The sequence below is a fragment of the Homo sapiens genome, chromosome 1, assembly GCF_000001405.40.
Source record: "Homo sapiens chromosome 1, GRCh38.p14 Primary Assembly".
Lineage (NCBI taxonomy): Eukaryota > Metazoa > Chordata > Mammalia > Primates > Hominidae > Homo > Homo sapiens.
In genome coordinates, this window is record NC_000001.11 from 149,544,240 (window position 1) to 149,570,796 (window position 26,557).

A 26,557-nucleotide genomic window follows, 5' to 3' on the forward strand; every position below is an offset into this window, starting at 1 on the left:
ATTGTTATGTGTGTAGGGGAATCAGCTTAATGTGTCTGTCCATGTCTGAATTTATTGCAGAAATTGAAAAGAAGGGGAAGGGGAAGAAAAGAAGGGGAAGAAGATCAAAGAAGGAAAGAAGAAGGGGAAGAAAAGAAGGGGAAGAAGATCAAAACCCACCATGCCCCAGGTGACTTTCAGCAATTGTGGATGCTTAATTCTGTGTTAACACCTGGAGGCAACAGATTCAGGGAAACCAGACTGTGTTTGATGTCATGTTTTCAACGAAGGCTGAATTACTCCTACTGTCATTGCTGTTGGTTTTCATTGCAGTAGATGTTTAGGTTTCCATTTCTTCCTCCCCTTATCATTTACTAACGTACCATAGGTTGACCATACTTCAAAAGCTGTACTCTCATGGCCACTGCATCGAATTTTGAGCATATTTTATGGAAAACTATTGAGCTCACTCTTTTCATGATCACAGTTTGCTGTGTGTCATGAGGGCACTAACTCAGAGTGTCCTTTTACTCCCTTACCAGTATGTCACCTGGCCAATTCACTAGGTCACTTTCTCTCTGTCTCTGTCTCTGTCTCTCTCTCTGTCTCTGTCTCTCTCTCTCTCTCTGTCTTTCTCTTTCATTGTTTTCTACCTGGCCCTGTTCTATCCCAACATAAAGGCAATAATTTGTTACCTCATTAATGGATCTGTCCTTTTTCTTTTCAAACTCTTCCTTAACGTTAGCCATGAAATCTAGCTGGGGCTGTGTGGTTTCTGATTCCCCCTGGCTTATTCTTTACTTTTTCCCACTTTTCCAGGCTCAGCAGGGAGCTGCTGGATGAGAAAGGGCCTGAAGTCTTGCAGGACTCACTGGATAGATGTTATTCAACTCCTTCAGGTTGTCTTGAACTGACTGACTCATGCCAGCCCTACAGAAGTGCCTTTTACATATTGGAGCAACAGTGTGTTGGCTTGGCTGTTGACATGGATGGTGAGTACCTTTCTATGAAGGTGATAAGGATCCACTGAGTCTTCTGGTTAGGGTCATATTCCTACTGCAAGTGGCCCTTACTGAGCTGAGAGATGTCATTGCCACAGGGAGGACCTATAGGCACATGTAGGTTGAATGAAACTCTAGTTCCACTTGGCAGCCCAGACAAGGGATGGGTCAGTGAGCAAGGCTCTCTCCCTAGTCTCAGGCCATGCCTGTGGAGCCCTAATCCTACTCTCATGACACTGGACCTGGGCAGATGTGACAAATTCACACAACTCTGATTTTGTCTCAATTTTGTAGATCTTGTAGATTTCATCCTTCACTCTAATTTCAGCGTCTAAAATCCTCGCTACCATGAACAATCTGAGTATTTGATGAGACAGGGCTGAATAGTGCAGTTTTTCTCCTAGCAACCATTTGGGGGTATTTGCTTTAAATCGATTGGAAAAATATGGCATAACCATTTGCACAAACTTGGGACAAATGATATTGGGATAACGATCTACCAGAATAGGGAATTTTACCCACAGTTTCTGGGACAAAAACCAAGGAATCTCTATGGTGATCAGCCTTCAGGCCTCCTGAAGAATATCTCTCACAGTGTCCTATTCTCATGCTGAGGAGCCTGAAGTCCCTGTGTGAGGACTAGACAGTGGATTGTTATGTGTGTAGGAGAACCAGCTTCATATGTCTGTCCATGTCTGAACTTATTGCAGAAATTGAAAAGTACCAAGAAGTGGAAGAAGACCAAGACCCATCATGCCCCAGGTAACTTTGAGCAATTATGGATGCTTAATTCTGTGTTGACACCTGGAGATGCCAGGTCCAGGGAAAACAAGAGTGTGTTCAATTTCATGTTTTCAACGAAGGTTGAATTACTCCTACTGACATGGCTGTTGGTTTTCATTGCAGTAGATGTTTAGGTTTCCATTTCTTCCTCCCCTTAACATTTACTAACTTACTATAGGTTGACCATACCTCAAAGGCTGTATGGCAACTGCATGGAATCTTGAGCAAGTTTATGGAAAATTATTGAGCCCACTCTTTTCATGATCACTGTTCGCTGTGTGTCCCGAGGGCACTAACTCAGAGTGTCCTTTGACCCCTTCATCAGTGTGTCACCCGGCCAACTCGCTGAGCTCACTTTCTCCTCTCTCTCTCTCTCTCTCTCTCTCTCCCTCTCCCTGTCTTTCTCTTTCATTCTTTTCTACCTGGCCCTGGTCTATCCCAACATAAAGGCAATAATTCATTACCTCATTAATGGATCTGTCCTTTTTCTTTTTAAACAGTTCCTTATGTTAGCCATGAAATCTAGCTGGGGCTGTGTGGTTTCTGATTCCCCCTGGCTTATTCTTTACTTTTTCCTACTTTTCCAGGCTCAGCAGGGAGCTGCTGGCTGAGAAAGAGCCTGAAGTCTTGCAGGACCCACTGGATAGATGTTATTCGACTCCTTCAGGTTATCTTGAACTGCCTGACTTAGGCCAGCCCTACAGCAGTGCTGTTTACTCATTGGAGGAACAGTACCTTGGCTTGGCTCTTGACGTGGACAGTGAGTACCTTACTATGAAGGTGATAAGCCTCCACCTGGTCTTCCAGATAGGGGTGATATTCCTGTTCCAAGTGGCCCTTACTGACCCGAGAGATGTCATTGCCGCAGGCAGGACCTATGGGCGCATATAGGTTGTAATGAAACTGTAGTCTCAGTTGGAAGCCTAGACATGAAATGGGTCAGTGAGCAAGGCTCTATTCCTAGTCTCCAGCCATGCCTGTGGCAACCTGAGCCCGCTCTCAGCACATTGGACCCAGGCAGATGTAAAAAATTCACAGAACTATGATTTGGACTCAAGGGTTTGTAGATTTCCTCCTTCATTCTAATTTCAGTGTCTAAAATTCTTACATCCATGAACGAGCTGGGCATTTGATGAGACAGGGCTGAATACTGCAGTTTTCCTCCTAGAAATCATCTGGGGCATTTTCTTTGAACTGATGGGAACAATAAGGCATAACTGTTTGCACAAACTTGGGATAAGTGATTTTGGGATAACGATCTTCCAGAATGGGGATATTTCACCCTTGGTTCTGAGATGCAAACCAAAGAATATCATGACCAGCTTTCAGGCCTCCTGAAGTATATCTCTCACATTGTCCTGTTCTCATGCTGAGGAGCCTGAGATCCCTGTGTGGGGATTAGACAGTGGACTGTTATGGGTGTAGGTGAATTGGCTTATTTTGTCTGTCCCTGTCTGAATGTATTGCAGGAATTAAAAAGGACCAAGAAGAGGAAGAAGACCAAGGCCCACCATGCCCCAGGTAACTGAGCAATTGTGAACAGCTACTTCTGTGTTGACATCTGGAGACTCCTGGTTCAGGGAAAACAGAGCGGGCTGACATTATCGATTACATCTTTTCAAGCAAGCCTGAATTATTCCTACTAACATTGCTGTTGGTTTTCATTGCAGTAGATATTTAGGTTTCCATTTCTTCCTCCCCTTATCATTTACTAACCTACTGTAGGTGGACCAGACTTCAAAAACTGTATTCTCATGGCGACTGCATGGAAACTTGAACACATTTTATGGAAAATTATTGAGCACAGTCTTTTCATGATCACTGTATGCTGTGTGTCCTGAGGGCACTAACTCAGAGTGTCCTGTTACTCCCTCATCAGTGTGTCACCTGGACAATTCACTGAGCTCGTTCTCTCTCTCTCTGTGTGTGTGTCTGTGTGTGTGTGTGTGTCTATCTGTCTTTCTCTTTCATTCTTTTCCATTTGGCCCTGTTCTGTCCCAACATGAAGGCAATAATTTGTTACCTCATTAATGGATCTATCCTTTTACTTTCTTAACCACTTCCTTATGCTACCCATGAAACCTAGTTGGGGCTCTGTTGTGTGTGATTTCCCCTGGCTTATTCTTTACTTTTTCCTCCTTTTCCAGGCTCAGCAGGGAGCTGCTGGAGGTAGTAGAGCCTGAAGTCTTGCAGGACTCACTGGATAGATGTTATTCAACTCCTTCCAGTTGTCTTGAACAGCCTGACTCCTGCCAGCCCTATGGAAGTTCCTTTTATGCATTGGAGGAAAAACATGTTGGCTTTTCTCTTGACGTGGGAGGTGAGTACCTTTCTATGAAGGTGATAAGCATCCACTGAGTCTTCCATATAAAGATCATATTCCTGCTCCAAGTGGCCATTACTGAGCTGAGAGATGTCATTGCCGCAGTGAGGACCTATAGGCACATGTAGGTTGAATGAAACTCTAGTTCTACCTGGAAGCCCAGACATGGGATGGGTCAGTGAGCATGGCTCTCTTCCTAGTCTCAGGCCATACCTGTGGCACTCTGATTCTACTCTCATGACATTGGACCTGGGCAGATGTGACAAATTCAGAGAACTATGATTTTGACTCAAGGGTTTGTAGATTTCCTTTTTCACTCTAATTTCAGTGTCTAAAGTCCTCACAACCATGAACAATCTGAGTATTTGATGAGACAGGGCTAAATATTGCAGTTTTTCTCCCAGAAATCATTTGAGGGTATTTGCTTTAAATTGATTGGAAAAATATGGCATAACTGTTTGCACAAACTTGGGACAAATGATATTGGGATAACGATCTACTAGAATAGGGACATTTTACCCACAGTTTCTGGGAGAAAAACCGAGGAATTTCTATCATGACCAGCCTTCAGGCCTCCTGAAATATATCTCTCACAGTGTCCTATTCTTATGCTGAGGAGCCTGAGGTCCCTGTGTGAGGATTAGACAGTGGATTGTTATGTGTGTAGGGGAATCAGCTTAATGTGTCTGTCCATGTCTGAATTTATTGCAGAAATTGAAAAGAAGGGGAAGGGGAAGAAAAGAAGGGGAAGAAGATCAAAGAAGGAAAGAAGAAGGGGAAGAAAAGAAGGGGAAGAAGATCAAAACCCACCATGCCCCAGGTGACTTTCAGCAATTGTGGATGCTTAATTCTGTGTTAACACCTGGAGGCAACAGATTCAGGGAAACCAGAGTGTGTTTGATGTCATGTTTTCAACGAAGGCTGAATTACTCCTACTGTCATTGCTGTTGGTTTTCATTGCAGTAGATGTTTAGGTTTCCATTTCTTCCTCCCCTTATCATTTACTAGCGTACCATAGGTTGACCATACTTCAAAAGCTGTACTCTCATGGCCACTGCATCGAATTTTGAGCATATTTTATGGAAAACTATTGAGCTCACTCTTTTCATGATCACAGTTTGCTGTGTGTCATGAGGGCACTAACTCAGAGTGTCCTTTTACTCCCTTACCAGTATGTCACCTGGCCAATTCACTAGGTCACTTTCTCTCTGTCTCTGTCTCTGTCTCTCTCTCTGTCTCTGTCTCTCTCTCTCTCTCTGTCTTTCTCTTTCATTGTTTTCTACCTGGCCCTGTTCTATCCCAACATAAAGGCAATAATTTGTTACCTCATTAATGGATCTGTCCTTTTTCTTTTCAAACTCTTCCTTAACGTTAGCCATGAAATCTAGCTGGGGCTGTGTGGTTTCTGATTCCCCCTGGCTTATTCTTTACTTTTTCCCACTTTTCCAGGCTCAGCAGGGAGCTGCTGGATGAGAAAGGGCCTGAAGTCTTGCAGGACTCACTGGATAGATGTTATTCAACTCCTTCAGGTTGTCTTGAACTGACTGACTCATGCCAGCCCTACAGAAGTGCCTTTTACATATTGGAGCAACAGTGTGTTGGCTTGGCTGTTGACATGGATGGTGAGTACCTTTCTATGAAGGTGATAAGGATCCACTGAGTCTTCTGGTTAGGGTCATATTCCTACTGCAAGTGGCCCTTACTGAGCTGAGAGATGTCATTGCCACAGGGAGGACCTATAGGCACATGTAGGTTGAATGAAACTCTAGTTCCACTTGGCAGCCCAGACAAGGGATGGGTCAGTGAGCAAGGCTCTCTCCCTAGTCTCAGGCCATGCCTGTGGAGCCCTAATCCTACTCTCATGACACTGGACCTGGGCAGATGTGACAAATTCACACAACTCTGATTTTGTCTCAATTTTGTAGATCTTGTAGATTTCATCCTTCACTCTAATTTCAGCGTCTAAAATCCTCGCTACCATGAACAATCTGAGTATTTGATGAGACAGGGCTGAATAGTGCAGTTTTTCTCCTAGCAACCATTTGGGGGTATTTGCTTTAAATCGATTGGAAAAATATGGCATAACCATTTGCACAAACTTGGGACAAATGATATTGGGATAACGATCTACCAGAATAGGGAATTTTACCCACAGTTTCTGGGACAAAAACCAAGGAATCTCTATGGTGATCAGCCTTCAGGCCTCCTGAAGAATATCTCTCACAGTGTCCTATTCTCATGCTGAGGAGCCTGAAGTCCCTGTGTGAGGATTAGACAGTGGATTGTTATGTGTGTAGGAGAACCAGCTTCATATGTCTGTCCATGTCTGAACTTATTGCAGAAATTGAAAAGTACCAAGAAGTGGAAGAAGACCAAGACCCATCATGCCCCAGGTAACTTTGAGCAATTATGGATGCTTAATTCTGTGTTGACACCTGGAGATGCCAGGTCCAGGGAAAACAAGAGTGTGTTCAATTTCATGTTTTCAACGAAGGTTGAATTACTCCTACTGACATGGCTGTTGGTTTTCATTGCAGTAGATGTTTAGGTTTCCATTTCTTCCTCCCCTTAACATTTACTAACTTACTATAGGTTGACCATACCTCAAAGGCTGTATGGCAACTGCATGGAATCTTGAGCAAGTTTATGGAAAATTATTGAGCCCACTCTTTTCATGATCACTGTTCGCTGTGTGTCCCGAGGGCACTAACTCAGAGTGTCCTTTGACCCCTTCATCAGTGTGTCACCCGGCCAACTCGCTGAGCTCACTTTCTCCTCTCTCTCTCTCTCTCTCTCTCTCTCCCTCTCCCTGTCTTTCTCTTTCATTCTTTTCTACCTGGCCCTGGTCTATCCCAACATAAAGGCAATAATTCATTACCTCATTAATGGATCTGTCCTTTTTCTTTTTAAACAGTTCCTTATGTTAGCCATGAAATCTAGCTGGGGCTGTGTGGTTTCTGATTCCCCCTGGCTTATTCTTTACTTTTTCCTACTTTTCCAGGCTCAGCAGGGAGCTGCTGGCTGAGAAAGAGCCTGAAGTCTTGCAGGACCCACTGGATAGATGTTATTCGACTCCTTCAGGTTATCTTGAACTGCCTGACTTAGGCCAGCCCTACAGCAGTGCTGTTTACTCATTGGAGGAACAGTACCTTGGCTTGGCTCTTGACGTGGACAGTGAGTACCTTACTATGAAGGTGATAAGCCTCCACCTGGTCTTCCAGATAGGGGTGATATTCCTGTTCCAAGTGGCCCTTACTGACCCGAGAGATGTCATTGCCGCAGGCAGGACCTATGGGCGCATATAGGTTGTAATGAAACTGTAGTCTCAGTTGGAAGCCTAGACATGAAATGGGTCAGTGAGCAAGGCTCTATTCCTAGTCTCCAGCCATGCCTGTGGCAACCTGAGCCCGCTCTCAGCACATTGGACCCAGGCAGATGTAAAAAATTCACAGAACTATGATTTGGACTCAAGGGTTTGTAGATTTCCTCCTTCATTCTAATTTCAGTGTCTAAAATTCTTACATCCATGAACGAGCTGGGCATTTGATGAGACAGGGCTGAATACTGCAGTTTTCCTCCTAGAAATCATCTGGGGCATTTTCTTTGAACTGATGGGAACAATAAGGCATAACTGTTTGCACAAACTTGGGATAAGTGATTTTGGGATAACGATCTTCCAGAATGGGGATATTTCACCCTTGGTTCTGAGATGCAAACCAAAGAATATCATGACCAGCTTTCAGGCCTCCTGAAGTATATCTCTCACATTGTCCTGTTCTCATGCTGAGGAGCCTGAGATCCCTGTGTGGGGATTAGACAGTGGACTGTTATGGGTGTAGGTGAATTGGCTTATTTTGTCTGTCCCTGTCTGAATGTATTGCAGGAATTAAAAAGGACCAAGAAGAGGAAGAAGACCAAGGCCCACCATGCCCCAGGTAACTGAGCAATTGTGAACAGCTACTTCTGTGTTGACATCTGGAGACTCCTGGTTCAGGGAAAACAGAGCGGGCTGACATTATCGATTACATCTTTTCAAGCAAGCCTGAATTATTCCTACTAACATTGCTGTTGGTTTTCATTGCAGTAGATATTTAGGTTTCCATTTCTTCCTCCCCTTATCATTTACTAACCTACTGTAGGTGGACCAGACTTCAAAAACTGTATTCTCATGGCGACTGCATGGAAACTTGAACACATTTTATGGAAAATTATTGAGCACAGTCTTTTCATGATCACTGTATGCTGTGTGTCCTGAGGGCACTAACTCAGAGTGTCCTGTTACTCCCTCATCAGTGTGTCACCTGGACAATTCACTGAGCTCGTTCTCTCTCTCTCTGTGTGTGTGTCTGTGTGTGTGTGTGTGTCTATCTGTCTTTCTCTTTCATTCTTTTCCATTTGGCCCTGTTCTGTCCCAACATGAAGGCAATAATTTGTTACCTCATTAATGGATCTATCCTTTTACTTTCTTAACCACTTCCTTATGCTACCCATGAAACCTAGTTGGGGCTCTGTTGTGTGTGATTTCCCCTGGCTTATTCTTTACTTTTTCCTCCTTTTCCAGGCTCAGCAGGGAGCTGCTGGAGGTAGTAGAGCCTGAAGTCTTGCAGGACTCACTGGATAGATGTTATTCAACTCCTTCCAGTTGTCTTGAACAGCCTGACTCCTGCCAGCCCTATGGAAGTTCCTTTTATGCATTGGAGGAAAAACATGTTGGCTTTTCTCTTGACGTGGGAGGTGAGTACCTTTCTATGAAGGTGATAAGCATCCACTGAGTCTTCCATATAAAGATCATATTCCTGCTCCAAGTGGCCATTACTGAGCTGAGAGATGTCATTGCCGCAGTGAGGACCTATAGGCACATGTAGGTTGAATGAAACTCTAGTTCTACCTGGAAGCCCAGACATGGGATGGGTCAGTGAGCATGGCTCTCTTCCTAGTCTCAGGCCATACCTGTGGCACTCTGATTCTACTCTCATGACATTGGACCTGGGCAGATGTGACAAATTCAGAGAACTATGATTTTGACTCAAGGGTTTGTAGATTTCCTTTTTCACTCTAATTTCAGTGTCTAAAGTCCTCACAACCATGAACAATCTGAGTATTTGATGAGACAGGGCTAAATATTGCAGTTTTTCTCCCAGAAATCATTTGAGGGTATTTGCTTTAAATTGATTGGAAAAATATGGCATAACTGTTTGCACAAACTTGGGACAAATGATATTGGGATAACGATCTACTAGAATAGGGACATTTTACCCACAGTTTCTGGGAGAAAAACCGAGGAATTTCTATCATGACCAGCCTTCAGGCCTCCTGAAATATATCTCTCACAGTGTCCTATTCTTATGCTGAGGAGCCTGAGGTCCCTGTGTGAGGATTAGACAGTGGATTGTTATGTGTGTAGGGGAATCAGCTTAATGTGTCTGTCCATGTCTGAATTTATTGCAGAAATTGAAAAGAAGGGGAAGGGGAAGAAAAGAAGGGGAAGAAGATCAAAGAAGGAAAGAAGAAGGGGAAGAAAAGAAGGGGAAGAAGATCAAAACCCACCATGCCCCAGGTGACTTTCAGCAATTGTGGATGCTTAATTCTGTGTTAACACCTGGAGGCAACAGATTCAGGGAAACCAGAGTGTGTTTGATGTCATGTTTTCAACGAAGGCTGAATTACTCCTACTGTCATTGCTGTTGGTTTTCATTGCAGTAGATGTTTAGGTTTCCATTTCTTCCTCCCCTTATCATTTACTAGCGTACCATAGGTTGACCATACTTCAAAAGCTGTACTCTCATGGCCACTGCATCGAATTTTGAGCATATTTTATGGAAAACTATTGAGCTCACTCTTTTCATGATCACAGTTTGCTGTGTGTCATGAGGGCACTAACTCAGAGTGTCCTTTTACTCCCTTACCAGTATGTCACCTGGCCAATTCACTAGGTCACTTTCTCTCTGTCTCTGTCTCTGTCTCTCTCTCTCTGTCTTTCTCTTTCATTGTTTTCTACCTGGCCCTGTTCTATCCCAACATAAAGGCAATAAATTTTTTTTTTTACCTCATTAATGGATCTATCCTTTTTCTTTTCTAACCACTTCCTTATGTGACTTCTGAAATCTAGTGGGGCTCTGTGGTGTCTGATTTTCCCTGGCTGCTTCTTTAGTTTTGTCTCCTTTTCCAGGCTCAACAGCGTGCTGATGGAAGTGGAAGAGCCTGAAGTCTTACAGGACTCACTGGATGGATGTTATTCGACTCCGTCAATGTACTTTGAACTACCTGACTCATTCCAGCACTACAGAAGTGTGTTTTACTCATTTGAGGAAGAGCATATCAGCTTCGCCCTTTACTTGGACAATAGGTTTTTTACTTTGACGGTGACAAGTCTCCATCTGGTGTTCCAGATGTTAGTCATATTCCCACAATAGGCAGCCCTTACTAAGCCGAGAGATGTCATTCCTGCAGGCAGGACCTATAGGCACGTGAAGATTTGAATGAAACTACAGTTCCATTTGGAAGCCCAGACATAGGATGGGTCAGTGGGCATGGCTCTTTTCCTATTCTCAAACCATGCCAGTGGCAACCTGTGCTCAGTCTGAAGACAATGGACCCACGTTAGGTGTGACACGTTCACATAACTGTGCAGCACATGCCGGGAGTGATCAGTCGGACATTTTAATTTGAACCACGTATCTTTGGGTAGCTACAAAATTCCTCAGGGATTTCATTTTGCAGGCATGTCTCTGAGCTTCTATACCTGCTCAAGGTCAGTGTCATCTTTGTGTTTAGCTCATCCAAAGGTGTTACCCTGGTTTCAATGAACCTAACCTCATTCTTTGTGTCTTCAGTGTTGGCTTGTTTTAGCTGATCCATCTGTAACACAGGAGGGATCCTTGGCTGAGGATTGTATTTCAGAACCACCAACTGCTCTTTACAATTGTTAACCCGCTAGGCTCCTTTGGTTAGAGAAGCCACAGTCCTTCAGCCTCCAATTGGTGTCAGTACTTAGGAAGACCACAGCTAGATGGACAAACAGCATTGGGAGGCCTTAGCCCTGCTCCTCTCAATTCCATCCTGTAGAGAACAGGAGTCAGGAGCCGCTGGCAGGAGACAGCATGTCACCCAGGACTCTGCCGGTGCAGAATATGAACAATGCCATGTTCTTGCAGAAAACGCTTAGCCTGAGTTTCATAGGAGGTAATCACCAGACAACTGCAGAATGTAGAACACTGAGCAGGACAACTGACCTGTCTCCTTCACATAGTCCATATCACCACAAATCACACAACAAAAAGGAGAAGATATATTTTGGGTTCAAAAAAAGTAAAAAGATAATGTAGCTGCATTTCTTTAGTTATTTTGAACCCCAAATATTTCCTCATCTTTTTGTTGTTGTCATGGATGGTGGTGACATGGACTTGTTTATAGAGGACAGGTCAGCTCTCTGGCTCAATGATCTACATTCTGAAGTTGTCTGAAAATGTCTTCATGATTAAATTCAGCCTAAACGTTTTGCCGGGAACACTGCAGAGACAATGCTGTGAGTTTCCAACCTCAGCCCATCTGCGGGCAGAGAAGGTCTAGTTTGTCCATCACCATTATGATATCAGGACTGGTTACTTGGTTAAGGAGGGGTCTAGGAGATCTGTCCCTTTTAGAGACACCTTACTTATAATGAAGTACTTGGGAAAGCGGTTTTCAAGAGTATAAATATCCTGTATTCTAATGATCATCCTCTAAACATTTTATCATTTATTAATCCTCCCTGCCTGTGTCTATTATTATATTCATATCTCTACGCTGCAAAATTTGGGTCTCAATTTTTACTGTGCCTTTGTTTTTACTAGTGTCTGCTGTTGCAAAAAGAAGAAAACATTCTCTGCCTGAGTTTTAATTTTTGTCCAAAGTTAATTTTAATCTATACAATTAAAACCTTTTGCCTATCACTCTGGACTTTTGGATTGTTTTTTACATTCAGTGTTATAATATTTGATTATGCTGATTGGTTTTGGTGGGTACTGATGTGAATTAATAAAAACATTTCATTTCCATGTTTATTTTCTAATCTCTTCCACATTGTAGGCTATGTTTACCATATGTAGCAGAATGTATTTACATTTCTTCGTTCTAGTCATTTGTATTCTTCGTAAGTGTGAGAGTGTGTGTGTGTGTGTGTCTGTGTGTGTGTCTGTGTGTGCCTTTGGCATTTAGGAAGGGTTGTATAGCTCATGTTAAATATTGCACTAAAAATGTTTTTGATGGTTTTCCTCCCTTTGAACTAGACACACTTCTAATATTTGGTTTATACTTTTAAATTATAACTTTCAGCATCAAATATTTCCATACAACAGTCAATTACATGATGTGTTTTCTTTTTCCTACCTCCTTTACCTGCCACTTCTCATAATAGTATTTGAACCTAAACATATACCGGTGACATTCTGTGATTATCATCTTGCCCCTACCTTGGTTTTGGTTTTTGGTGCAGTTCCAGGCTCTTGGTGTCTTTGTTTGGGACACCAAGAGCCTGGAACTGCACGGCACCAGCTGGTAAGAATTAGGCTTTTTTGGCCGGGCGCGGTGGCTTATGCCTGTAATCCCAGCACTTTGCGAGGCCAAGGCGGGCGGATCACGAGGTCAGGAAATCGAGACCATCCTGGCTAACACGGTAAAACCCCATCTCTACTAAAAATAAAAAAAATTAGCCGGGCATGGTGGCGGGCGCCTGTAGTCCCAGCTACTCGGGAGGCTGAGGCAGGAGAATGGCCTGAACCCGAGAGGCGGAGCTTGCAGTGAGCCGAGATCGCGCCACTGCACTCCAGCCTGGGCGACAGAGAGAGACTCTGTCTCAAAAAAAAAAAAAAAAAAAAAAAAAAAGGCTTTTTTTTTTCCCTAAGGGTTAACAACAAACCAGCCCTATGGAAAGACTTGCTTCACCACTGTTATCAACCAACGGCCTGATGCTTTTCCTCAGTTTTGTGATTTTGACAAAACAAGCAAGCAGCATTCCCTCCTGATAAGAGACCACCGACCTAGGAATGATTCTGGCCAGACTAGAGAGGATGCACAGTGAGGGTTTTCATGTCCTCTGCTTCAGCTTTTGATGTCAGAGGGCCACAAACTCCACTCTCAGATGATTGCTAATGCCACCATTTTATGAACATGGGCCCCATGGAGAGGCACGAAGCTCAATTGCACTTCTGCACATTTTTCCTCCTATAAATATTGCTATTGGAATATTATTTGGTATGGCTCCCGTGAAAGATACATTTGCGGAATGTACTCAAATTAGAAGCATCATGTAAACCCTATAATGTAGCAATAGTGCATCAACTTCCCTACACTATAGAAACATCTGCGGTGTAGACATTTCCACAATGACCAAAGATATGTGTACAAGAAAGGTGGCTGCAGCATTCTTTGTAATCCTAAAACAATGAAACCTACCTCATCTCAAAAACTTTATTTTTTTATTTTTATTTTTTTTTGAGATGGAGTCTTGCTCTGTTGCCCAGGCGGGAGTGTAGCGGTGCAGCCTCCACTGGTGCAGCCTCCACTGCAGCCTCCACCTCCCAGGTTCAAATGATTCTCCTGCCTCAGAATCCCAAGTACCTGGGATTACAGGCACATGCCACCACGCCTGGCTAACAAAAACATTTTGAAAAGGGTTAAATAAATCATGCACAAACTGAGGAAAAATACTCTTTTCAAAAATGATGGAGAGGATCACTATGATGATGAATGATTCCACTGGTCACATTATTGAGCAATCAGTAAATCCAGGCACATCCTCGGGGTATTACTGACCTATTATTAAAATATGAAAAAATGGAGGCATGTAAATTACTCGTTTAAGCGTATAACGGACTGAATTAGAATTTTATCACACCAGAAGTGGGTTCCTAGGTCTCTGTTTCAGGATTCCTGAGTTACACACGTATAAACCCAGGATTTCAGGAGATACCCGGTTAAGAATCCGGTCGGGGAGGTAGGCTGGCCCTTGACATGGATAAGTCACAAATTAGTGGCTTAGGACTCCGGGAAGATAAAATCTTCCCCATTTATCTAGTGATTGACAATGCATTAATACTTTAAAAGCTCGAACAAGCGTTCCTGGGTGGGCTCGAACCACCAACCTTTACGGTTAACAACCGAACGCGCTAACCAATTGCGCCACAGAGACAGGTACTGTCAGTTCTACTGGGCGCTATAGGAAGGGCGCACGCACGAAACTTCCTCCGTCCCTTGCATCCTCAGGGCCCGCCCAGCAGGACGACTGAGCAAGGCCTTGGAAGACCGGAGAGATTGGAGCGGTAAGTCGCGCTGGTCACGTTGGACACCTGCGCGTTGGGAGATTCTGGAGCCAGAAGGATAGCCGAATGGCCTTCGCCCGCCCTGCCCCTCGCCTGCTTCAGAAACCCCCGGAAACGCCCCGGTTGAGACCGCGGCCCAAGCCGCCTGGGGGCCCTAGGGAGGCTGAACGCCCGGTGGCTCCCGGGATGGCTCTTCCCGTTCTTTGCGCCGCCTTCACCCAGTGAGGGAGCCTGTGCCCTCCCTGCCCAGTCGCTTTTGGGGCCGCTGCGGAGCTTCCGCTGCCATCTTCGGATCCTGTGTTCCGCACGGGGGCTCCACCAGGGCAGGGATCGTGGTGAGGGTGGCTCGTGGGTCCCCCTCGCGGGGAGCAGGGTCTGGCACTCACCAGGGCGCAGGACTAGGACTTGTCGAATGAATCCATCCTTTTAGCTTTTAGTCCTTTGAAGAGCCTTGAGAATGGAAATCATGAGAGATTTTTCCATGGGGAAGTTCCTTTTACAAAGCATTTATTTACGTTGACTTCTTGGCACCCCGCGGGGCGGCAACGGGCAGGGCCTCCAGTGCACCTTCTGCGCCGTGGAGCCGCGGGGGCTCAGCTGGGCGGTGGTCGGGTCCTGAGGCCGGAGGGCGGGAGCAGGGGAGGGGAAAAGCAAAAGCGGGGAAAGAAGCCGGGGAGCGGTGGACCAGACGTCCAGACCTCCTGAAAGGCTGGCGGGGAGGCACAGGCGGGATCTTCCGGAGGTGAGAATTTTTTTTTATTATAGCAGAATGGGGAGGAATTGAGGGGAAAATGGAGATAGAACCTGAAAGAGCCCCAAACGCCAGAACCTGTAGCTCCCCAAGAATAAGATCTTCCAGAAGAACTAGACCCAAAACTAGCCGTTGGGGAACACCGAAATCCTTGGAGGAGCAACATCCGCATGACCCTCTGTGTTCCTTTAGGCAAAAGGACTTGCTTCCATTGTTTGTTCAATTGTTTGTGTTTCTTAAATAAATAAAACGATTTTCATGTATCTTTGAAATTACTTTGGCGCTACTATTTTATGATTGCAAATAATGCGGCAGTGATCATTCTTGTACACTTCTCATTGGCCATTTGTGTATTTCTATAGGGTAGAGGCCTGGAGAGCAGTTGCTCCAGCATAGGGATTACACAGTTTTTGTTTGTTTGTTTGTTTATTTATTTATTTATTTTTGAGACAGAGTCTCGCTCTGTCACCCAGGCTGGAGTGCAGTGGCGCCATCTCAGCTCTCACTGCAACCTCCGCCTCCCGGGTTCAAGCGAATCTCCTGCTTCAGCCTCCCAAGTAGCTGAGATTACAGGTCCGCGCGAGCCACCACATCGGGCTAATTTTTGTATTTTTAGTAGAGACGGGGTTTCACCGTTTTGGCCAGGCCGGTCTCAAACTCCTGACCTCAAGTGATCTGCCTGCCTTGGCCTCTCAAAGTGCTAGGATTACAGGCATGAGCCACCGCACCCAGCGATTACATGTTTTTTTAATATATATCATTCTATTTTCTTTCCTTATTTGGCTTATTAGCTGTAACTCTTTCTTTTGTTATGTCAGTGATGGCTTTAGGGTCCCTAGAATACATCTTTATCCGTCTGCCATCAAGTGACATTATACCTCCCCTTCTGGCCTTTATGCTAGTGTTGTCAGGGAATTTGATTTTGGACATGTTATAAACCCCAACATCCAAGTACGTACATAGCGATTTTCAGTCGTCTCCATTTCTTTGTGTAGGTTCAGATTTCTGTTTGATATCCTTATCCTTAGGCCTGGAGGACTCCTTTAATATTTCCTGTAGTGTGGTTCGGTGAATTCTGTCATTTTTTTGTATGTCTTTAAATGTCCTGATTTCAGTCACATTTTTGAAAGATATTTCAATTTGGTATAGAATTCTAGAATAAATTTTTTTCTCTCAGTACTTTAGGATGTTGCCACTTTGACGCTTTGTCATTGACATATCTTTCCTGTTTTTGTAAACTTGGCATAAAGTGGGTTTCCTGTACTTGTTATATGATTTTTGGATTGTGTATTCAAATTAAAAGTATTAAATTAAAATTAAAATGGCCTGGGCGAGGTGGCTCACACCTGTAATCCCAGCACTTTGGGAAGGGGAGGCAGAGGATCGCTTGAGACCCAGAGTTGGAGACCACCCTGGGCAAGATAGCAAGACCCTGTGTGTGTGTGTGTGTGTGTGTGTGTGTGTGTGTATGTGTGTGTATATATATACACATAAATATGTATATATATTATATGTATGTATTTATATATGAGTCCTACAGTCACCTTAAGTTCCACCAACAGTGCGCTTAAGGTAAAATGTGCCCAACCTGAGGCTCAAACCTACCTGCTGGCACGCAATTTGTGTTTGTGAGACAATCTCAACAGCATTTGCTTTTTCTAGCATAGTGGTTTTCCTGTTTTCCTCACATGTGAATGTCTTCAGTGCAAAACCTGTCAGAATTCATTTCCTTTGCTAAAATGTTTTAAAATAACTCTTACTTCAAGTAAGTGCATTAAAAATAAACTTCTCAGTTGCATCCCTGGAATCCATGGAAAGTCCAGGAGAGACAATCAAGTGCTACAGGATCAAGCCCAAACAGAACAGGACTAGGCATGGCTTCCTCACTAGGAGCCAGGCCAAAGTCATCTCCTTTGGTCTCCAATGGAGGCCAGAACTCGGTTCACCTGCAACGGGAGGACCTGGCCCAGAAGAGGTGGCCTTCATCTTCATGGTGCCTTCAGACAGGAAATCTAGGATTTCTTTTCTTCTCTTTGATCTACTTCCAACTCTCCCTATTTATTTATTTATTTATTTATTTATTTATTTGAGACAGAGTCTTGCTGTGTTGCCCAGGCTAGAGTGCAGCGGGGCAGTCTCAGCTCACTGCACCTCCGCCTCCTGGGTTCTAGAGATTCTCCTGCCTCAGCCTCCTGAGTAGCTGGGATTACAGGCGCCCGTCACCGTGCCTGGCTACTTGTTGTAGTTTTAGTAGAGACAGGGTTTCACCATCTTGGCCAGGCTGGTCTCGAACTCGTGACCTCGTGATCCACCCACCTCGGCCTCCCAAAGTGCTGGGATTACAGGCGTGAGCCACCGCATCTGGCCCTCCCTTTCTATTTCTTCAAGACCTTTTTCGGATCCCTCCTGCGCAGGACCTAAACGGGCGGTGCCCTTACCCACTGGTCCCTCCCTGCCTGGTGTCTTCGGAGCCCTAGCTCACCCGGAACGTTACTGCCCGCCGGTGACAGCGAGAGGACCAAAGAGGGCAGCGGGTGCGGTGGGAACCACAGAGTCACCGCGCACCTGCGCCTCGCGGGCTTCTCGCAAATTGAATAAACGCCCCCTGAAGCTTCTCTTCAAGTCACAGGGAAGGGGAAGGTGGCTGCCGACCCGGCAGGAGAAGCCGGCCCTGCCCCTGGTCCTTGAAGACAGGTTTGGCCAGGCTGATTTTGACTGGTAGGCCCAAAGAAAAGCCTCAAGGGCAGACCAAACTCCGACAGGCTCTGAGATTAAGGCTTTCAAACGTCTGATCGTTTTCAGCTTGGTCAGTAAAATCGATCCCGCCTTTATCAGGAGATTCCTTTGCCAAAGTTCAGAGACCTGGGGTTCCCGCTGCTTGTCACACAGAAAACCAATCACTGAGACGGTTATTGCCAAGGAAGAGGCTTTAATAGGGTGCTGCAGCGGAGGAGATGAGAACTCAGTCTCAAATCCATCTCCCTGACCAACCAAAACTAGAGGCTTAGATGGCAGGGAAAGAATGTGACAATGTGTAAGAAAACAGGAACTAGACCAGGCACGGTGGCTCACGCCTGTAATCCCAGCACTTTGGGAGGCCGAGGCGGGCGGATCACGAGGTCAGGAGATCGAGACCATCCTGGCTAACACGGTGAAACCCCATCTCTACTAGAAATACGAAAAGAAATTAGCCGGGCGTGGTGGCGGGCTCCTGTAGTCCCAGCTACTCAGGAGGCTGAGGCAGGAGAATGGCGTGAACCCGGGAGGCGGAGCTTGCAGTGAGCCAAGATAGCGCCACTGCACTCCAGCCTGGGAGGCAGAGGGAGACTCTGTCTCAAAAAGAAAAAAGAAAAAAAAGAAAAAAGAAAAGAAAGAAAACAGGAACTAGGGAGGGGTAAGGAAGCAATCAGGATGAATGAGGGGTCCGACATCTCATTGTCTGGGTGACTTTCAGTTCTTTGATATCTTTTTTGAGAGGCCTGAAGGAAAGAACTCAAATAAAACAAATATCGAGTTTCAAACTTTCAGATCAGAAGGGTCCATTTCTATGTTTATCCAAAAATCTACGTATGGGACTATTGGGTGGGTTTCAGACCAAGAAAGAGTGTGCATATCAAAGTCTGCGGTTAACCAAAGAGAAAACATAATTTTCCGACCAATAGGATGTATGGGGGTCAAAGAACGACCAGCTTACAGTACTGTTTATTGGCCTGAGCATACGGAAGGATGAAGTTGCACCAGCGAAATGGGATTAAGCTGCAGGTGCGGGCTGGGCGCGGTAGCTCACACCTGTAATCCCAGCACTCTGGGAGGCTGAGGTGGGTGGATCACTTGAGATCAGGAGTTTGAGACCAGCCTGACCAACATGGTGAAACCTCGTCTCTAATAAAAATACAAAAATTAGCCGGGCGTCATGGCGGGCACCTGTAGTCCCAGCTACTAGGGAGGCTGAGGCAGGAGAATCATTTATTAGTAAGGTCATTTATTAGTAAGGAAGAGAAGCAAGCACCAAGATTTAAGGCAGGAAGGGATAGGCTAACTCTACTGCTTTGTGCAAATGTAGTCGGGTTTATGATCAGGGCTGCCCTTAACTATAAAGCTGCTAACCCCTGAGTCTTGAAAGGGAAAAGAGAAACACTAGTTGCCAGTCTTTTGGTTGTACAACAAGAAGGCCTGGACTATGAGAATGCTTTTTCTGGATTAGTTCCATCAATGCTTTGTCCCTGAAGTCAGAAGTACCTTGCCAGTAAGGGACTGCTTTTTAAAGTTTTTTGTTGTTGTTGTTTAATTGGAAAATGCCCCCTGGCCACCCAGAACCCCATGAGTTCAACACCAAAGGCACTGAAGTGTTCTCCTTTTCCCCCAAACACATCTCTACTTCAGCCTCTAGATAAGGGAGTCATAAGGACCTTTAAGGCTCTACATATGGCACTCTATGGAAAGGTTTGTCAACATTGCAAAAGAGAAACCCAATAGAGAGAACATCATGGAAGTCTGGAAGGCTTACACCTTTCAAGATGTCATCAGTTGATATAGAAAACCATGAAACTCAAAACAATAAATTCGTGCTGGACAAAAGTACAATTTGTGTCCAGATGTTGTGCATAGCTACAGAATTACGACAAATCCAATTTAGAGAAAACCATGGAAAGAAGTATGGATATGAAGGGAAAAAAAGGTGTGGAGTGAAGGGTTGCAAGATATGGATCTTGGAGGAATTTAAGAGCTAATACACACCACACCAGAGGAATTAACAAAAGATGACTTCATGGAGATGAGTGCTTCCTAACCAGTGCCAGATAATGAGGAAGAAGACATAGGAAAAGCAGTGCCAGAAAACAAATTGGCATTCAACAATCTGGCAAAAGAGCTTTGATTATTCAAGACTACTTTTGACTTCTTTTATGACATAGACCGTTCCATGATACAGGAACTGAAACTAAAGCAAATGGTGGAAGACGGATAGGTACTACACTGAAATGTTTTTAGAGAAATGAAAAAGCAAAATAGACAGAAATAACGATGTATTTTTGTAAAGTTTCACCAAGTGTGCTTGCCTCTTTTGCTTCCCCTTCCATCCCTTCACCCTCTTCCACCTCTGCTACCCTAAGACACAAAGACCAGCTCCTCCTCCTCCTCCTCTGCCTACTCAACATGAAGACAACAATGATGAAGACCTTTAGGGTGATCCACTTCCACTTAATGAATGGGTCATATATTTTCTCTTCCTTACAATTTTCTTGATTATAATTTTTTTTCTGTAGCTTAGTTTATTGTAAGAATACAGTATATAATACACATAGCATGCAAAATATGTCTTAAATGTAATGCATGTTATCAGTAAGCCTTCTGGTCAACAATAGGTTATTAGTAGTTTGGGGGGAATCAAAAGTTGTATGCGGATTTTTCACTGTGTGGGAGGCCAGCTCCCCTAACCCTATGTTGTTCAAGGGGCAACAATATTCTTTCTCACTGGCACTTTACTTTCCATAAATTCAAATCCCAAAAGTAGAACTGCAAGTTCAAAAGGATTTTTAAAAACATAATTACTGTCAGATTACAGAAAGTTTCCAATTTCCATTTTCACTACCAATGTACAATGTTGGCGTCCCTGAATCCTTATCAGCAATGAATTTTTAAATATACTATAAGAGATGAAAAAATTTTTTTTAAATTTGGAATTCCCTGATCACTAATGAAGTTAAGCATCAATATTATTCCTTTAATATGCAAATGCTGAAAATACATTTAACTATAATAGATGTCAAAAATCTGTAAATCAGGCTAGGTGTGGTAGGCACTCACCTGTATTCCCAGCCACTGGGAGACTTGAGTCCAGGAGTTCCAGACTGTAGTATGCAATGATCAAGCCTGTGAATAGCCACTGCACTCCAGCATGGACAACATAGCAAGACCCCATCTTTTTTTAAAAAAAAGAGTCTATAAGACAAAGGTCCTCATAAATTAAGAGAAGCCAAGACAGTCACTGTGACTTCAGAATATTTTAATTTTTTTTATTATACTTTAAGTTCTAGGGTACATGTGCACAACGTGCTGGTTTGTTACATATGTATACATGTGCCATGTTGGTGTGCTGCACCCATTAACTCATCTTTTACATTAGGTATATCTCCTAATGCTATCCCTCCCCCAGCCCCCCACCACAGAGCAGGCCCCAGTGTGTGATGTTCCCTTTCCTGTATCCATGTCTTCTCATTGTTCAATTCCCACCTGTGAGTGAGAACATGCGGTGTTTGGTTTTTTGTCCTTGTGATAGTTTGCTGAGAATGATGGTTTCCAGCTTCATCCATGTCCCTACAAAGGACATGAACTCATCCTTTTTCATGGCTGCATAGTATTCCATGGTGTATATGTGCCACATTTTCTTAATCCAGTCTATCACTGATGGACATTTGGGTTGGTTCCAAGTCTTTGCTATTGTGAATAGTGCCGCAATAAACATACGTGTGCGTGTGTCTTTATAGCAGCATGATTTATAATCCTTTGGGTATATACCCAGTAATGGGATGGCTAGGTCAAATGGTATTTCTAGTTCTAGATCCTTGAGGAATCACCACACTGTCTTCCACAATGATTTAACCAGTTTACAGTCCCACCAACAGTGTGAAAGTGTTCCTATTTCTCCACATCCTCTCCAGCACCTGTTGTTTCCTGACTTTTTAATGATCGCCATTCTAACTGGTGTGAGATGGTATCTCATTGTGGTTTTGATTTGCATTTCTCTGATGGCCAGTGATGATGAGCATTTTTTCATGTGTCTGTTGGCTGCATAAATGTCTTCTTTTGAGAAGTGTCTCTTCATATACTTCACCCACTTGTTGATGGGGTTGTTTGTTTTTTCTTGTAAATTTGTTTGAGTTCATTGTAGATTCTGGATATTAGCCCTTTGTCAGATGAGTGGATTGCAAAAATGTTCTCCCATTCTGTAGGCTGCCTGTTCACTCTGATGGTAGTTTCTTTTGCTGTGTAGGAGCTCTTTAGTTTAATTAGATCCCATTTGTCAATTTTGGCTTTTATTGCCATTGCTTTCAGTGTTTTAGACATGAAGTCCTTGCCATGCCTGTGTCCTGAATGGTATTGCCTAGGTTTTCTTCTAGGGTTTTTATGGTTTTAGGTCTAACATGTAAGTCTTTAATCCATCTTGAATTAATTTTTGTATAAGGTGTAAGGAAGGGACCCAGTTTCAGCTTTCTACATATGGCTAGCCAGTTTTCCCAGCACCATTTATTAAACAGGGAATCCTTTCCCCATTTCTTGCTTTTGTCAGGTTTGTCAAAGATCAGATGGTTGTAGATGTGTGGTGTTATTTCTGAGGGCTCTGTTCTGTTCCATTGGTCTATATCTCTGTTTGGTACAAGTACCATGCTGTTTTGGTTACTGTAGCCTCATAGTCTAGTTTGAAGTCAGGTAGCGTGATGCCTCCAGCTTTGTTCTTTTCGCTTAGGATTGACTTGGCAATGCGGGTTCTTTTTTGTTTCCGTATGAACTTTAAAGTAGTTTTTTTCCAATTCTGTAAAGAAAGTCATTGGTAGCTTGATGGGGATGGCATTGAATCTATAAATTACCTTGGGCAGTATGGCCATTTTCACGATATTGATTCTTCCTATCCATGAGCATGGAATGTTCTTCCATTTGTTTGTGTCCTCTTTTATTTCCTTGAGCAGTGGTTTGTAGTTCTCCTTGAATAGGTCCTTCACATCCCTTGTAAGTTGGGTTCCTAGGTATTATTTCAAATATTATTGTAAAACAATGAGATATTGAAACATACATTGGAGCAAACTCTTCTTCATTCTTAAATCCTTTCAGCACAGAGACAATCAACTGACTGTGTGGGTACTACCTGACCACTATTGGAGTCTCTTTCATCTGCCTGAGTCTGTGCAACAATATGAAATTATAATTTTACTATGCACCTAAACTTTCCTCAATATATTGAATTCTTACAGAATTTGAAGAGTCAAATTTTGTAAATCCAGTTACCTTTTTCCACTACTCTAGGCCTCATATACTATCTGGCCTAAGGGTTAAAGGTCCACAATTGAATAAGCCAAACTTGTTAATTTGAGGGTAAAGCATGTCAAGAAATCTGGCCTTAATGTCCAATGAACTTATGTCATATTAAGTAGCTGGATAGAAACATGCATTCCAAAGTGGATGCTGTTTATCAGGCTCAGTGCTCTATTCTTGACAGTAAATCCCAGAATAGGGTGGATGCTTTAATTTTGTATTAAATAGTATTAGGTGTAATATCAAAACCACTAAGGGAACACTAATGATGAGAATAGGAACACTAGCTGTGGAGCTGGCAATTTTCTATAGAAATCCTATCTCTTTCAATTGCCTGTTTAGTGGGCAAGTGTTTCAGTTCCTATAATATCTAAATTGGAGAAAATCACCCCACCTACTTCTTCAGGTGTTATGATAATTATGAGGGATAACATCTTTTTAAGTGTTTAACACAATTCCTCACACATAGAAAGCAATAATAAACATTGGCTAGCATTGTAAGGATGGATTATTGTCTTCCAATGTGTTTTCATACATTTTCTTTCTAGGATCTTGAGTGAAACATGTGGATCTAGAACAAGAACAAAATGATGTTACCTTGATGATCTCTATGTAGGGTCACACTCAAGGCATCTTAAAATATTTTGCTGGCCAAAAAAGACACCTCCTGTTCTAATTGGGCATTGTCCTTTTCTTTAAACTATGCAGACAAACAATATTATAAAGTGAGAACATCCGCATAAAAAACCTAAACATAAATCTTAATAGTGAGTTCATGAAAATTCTTACTGATGAAATGGCAATGTCACAGACTGACTGTTTATGTCCCCCCAAATTTGTATATTGAAATCCTAACCCCCAAGCTACTCGTGTTAGGAGATAGAGCCTTGGGGAGGTGATTAGGTCATGAGGACAAGATTCTCATGAATGGGATTTGAGCCCTCATAAAAGAGACCCCAGAGAGCTCATTGGCCCCTTCCAAAGTATGGGGATACAGCAGGAAGTTGCCATCTATGAGCCAGAAGGGTGAACCTCACCCCAGATGCTGAATCTGCCTTGATATTGGACTTCCCAGCCTGCACAACTGTAAGAAATTTCTGTTGTTTATAAGTTACTCAGCTTGTGGTATTTTGTTACAGCAGCCTACACAGACTAAGACAAGTAGCATTTTGAGGATTAAAATTTCTTCATAAATGAATAGAGTATGCCCTGTTAAACCATATTCTCAGCTAACCCCGTTTACTCACTGTTCCTCTTTATTTTAGTTTCACATTTTTGCTATTTATCTCTGTAATTTTATTCATTCTTCACAATTTGCCATTCTTATACTTCGAATCATGTTATCAGTTTATAATACCTCCATCAAATGATAGTCTGCATTTGTTTATCCTTGGCTGATTCAAAACACTTGGCATAATTTCCTTAAAGGAAATCATCTTCATCCCACCTCACAACACTGTATTATTTTCAATTAATTTCCAATAAACTCTTAATTGTCCATGCTCTGTCAGAGTTGGCAGAGTTAATCCCTGTTTAAGCTAATAGGTTCAACTTCTTCAACAAACAAATCTTTCATGAAAGCTGCTGACAAGCCAGAGTATTAATTAAATCTAGTTTCATTGCTTCTCACTTTCCTTGATCTTTCTCTCTTGTTCTTTGGGAAACAGTCACAGAGTTCTGGCGCTAATAAATACTATAAAAAGTAGGAAATACAGTCTAAAGAAGCAGAATATTCTGTTTAAAGTTGATGTGGTGCTTTTTGTGCACCAAGCATTGGCTCAAAAGCCTGAAAATTAGGCAGCAATACTTCCTAAGCTCATCTTCAACCATAAGGCAGAAAAGCCAAACATATCTGAAAATATAATATCACTGGTACCTTATACCAGCACTAAGAATAAGAAAACCCTGGAAAGTGGCTCGAGTACAGTATTTTTCTATTGGAATTAATTTTTCAAAATGGAAAGGACTTCATTGTTATTTTTATTATAAAATTAGTATATGTTTATTATTAAAAATAAGTACAAAAATCTCTAAAAGAAAAAGGGAAAAATTACCAGCAGTTCCACATTCCAGATATCATCACTGTTAGCATTTAGGATACAAATATCCAAACACTTCTTCTATCAATACATTTAATTTTTAAATTTGACCATTATGCAATGTACACATGCACTAAAGCACCACACTGTACCCCATAAACATGTGCAATTATTATGTCAATTAAAAACAAAATAAAAGCATTTTACAAAAAATCATGTTATTTTTAATAACTTGTTTTTCTAATTTTATACACCATAAAATAAATGTCTTTACATGACATTTATTTTATGATAATAACTAATTTATTCATTTAAACAGCAAGGTACATTTCGTTCTACAGATATACTATATAATATTTACTCCGATCTCTGGATGAGAATTTATGTTGCCCGTAAATATTGTATCACAAACATTATAAGAATAATCTCTGTAAAGGTTTTCTTCCTGAATTATTATTTGGGTAGAAAAATTACTAGAAAGAGAATAACTGGGTCAAAGATTAAAGACAATTTAAATTTCAATATATAGAATCAAATTATTCTCCAAAATATTGTACTCTACAGTATTTGAATTTTGATTTTTTTCTCCATTTTCACTACTGCCAATAACTTTAATCTTTGTCGATAAATGAGACAAAAAAGACAAATAATGCAATATTATACAAGGGAGATTAATAGGTAGAAAAAGAAATGCAATGGCCAAGAGTAACAGAAGATGTTCAACATCAATCCAATCAAATTAATGAGTCTTTAAAATGCAATAGCAGTCAATGTTAGCAAGAGTGTAGGTATTAGACATTCTCATAGGAATATAAACTAGGGCCATGTTTTAGGATCATATTAGATCGCAGCAATTAAAAAATGTTAAATTCATATGTTCTATAGCAACTTCTCAGGTTGGAATTTATCACATGGAGAATCTTGTAAAATACATAAACCAAGATATGTTATTAATGTTATTGGTAGCCTATTGTTTAAATAAAAAATATATTTATACAATACAGTTGTTAAAAGTTAAGAATATCTTGAAGGTAAATTATTAAACAAAAATAGAAAGCCTAGGCCAGGCAAGACTTCATCTCATGCTTATAATCCCAACACTTTTGGAGACTGAGGCGGGAGGATTGCTTGAGCCCAGGAGTTTGAGACCAACCTGGGCAACACAGTGAGACCTCATCTCTAGAAAAAAAAAATACAAAGCCTAGTTCTGAACATCCTTTTGTGTAATACTAAAAGATAAAATTTTATTTTCTAACTTGTTTAAGATCTATATTCTATACGGGGGATGTGTATTAAGGTCATTTTTAAAAAGATACTCAAGGAATTGTCAACAGTGATTATCTTAAGGAGAGATT

The 26,557-nt window shown here is 42.5% G+C and overlaps 1 protein-coding gene, 1 long non-coding RNA gene, 1 other non-coding gene and 1 pseudogene across 3 annotated transcripts in view; 2 read left to right on the top strand and 2 right to left on the bottom strand.

Moving 5' to 3' along the window:
* The window catches only part of NBPF19 (NBPF member 19), an 81,317-nt gene extending 69,195 nt beyond the window's left edge, over positions 1 to 12,122 (top strand). Inside the window, exons 81-94 of the mRNA NM_001351365.2 lie at positions 61 to 169; positions 799 to 971; positions 1,691 to 1,742; positions 2,351 to 2,523; positions 3,233 to 3,284; positions 3,911 to 4,083; positions 4,798 to 4,906; positions 5,536 to 5,708; positions 6,428 to 6,479; positions 7,088 to 7,260; positions 7,970 to 8,021; positions 8,648 to 8,820; positions 9,535 to 9,643; positions 10,256 to 12,122. Of these exons, the coding sequence (NP_001338294.1) occupies positions 61 to 169; positions 799 to 971; positions 1,691 to 1,742; positions 2,351 to 2,523; positions 3,233 to 3,284; positions 3,911 to 4,083; positions 4,798 to 4,906; positions 5,536 to 5,708; positions 6,428 to 6,479; positions 7,088 to 7,260; positions 7,970 to 8,021; positions 8,648 to 8,820; positions 9,535 to 9,643; positions 10,256 to 10,499 (1,817 nt within the window). The 3' untranslated portion in view covers positions 10,500 to 12,122. The remainder of the gene's footprint in view (positions 1 to 60; positions 170 to 798; positions 972 to 1,690; positions 1,743 to 2,350; positions 2,524 to 3,232; positions 3,285 to 3,910; positions 4,084 to 4,797; positions 4,907 to 5,535; positions 5,709 to 6,427; positions 6,480 to 7,087; positions 7,261 to 7,969; positions 8,022 to 8,647; positions 8,821 to 9,534; positions 9,644 to 10,255) is intronic.
* Positions 12,123 to 13,907: 1,785 nt separating this feature from the next.
* On the bottom strand, positions 13,908 to 16,800 carry LOC101060227 (uncharacterized; annotated as a pseudogene).
* TRN-GTT25-1 (tRNA-Asn (anticodon GTT) 25-1) lies at positions 14,180 to 14,254 on the bottom strand. The gene has a single exon. It is a non-coding gene; the product is annotated as a tRNA-Asn (tRNA).
* A 3,579-nt stretch (positions 16,801 to 20,379) lies between the features above and the next one.
* LOC124904410 (uncharacterized) overlaps positions 20,380 to 26,557 on the top strand; it is a 41,997-nt gene continuing 35,819 nt past the window's right edge. The window contains exon 1 of the long non-coding RNA XR_007066582.1: positions 20,380 to 24,249. This is a non-coding gene — a long non-coding RNA (uncharacterized LOC124904410). The remainder of the gene's footprint in view (positions 24,250 to 26,557) is intronic.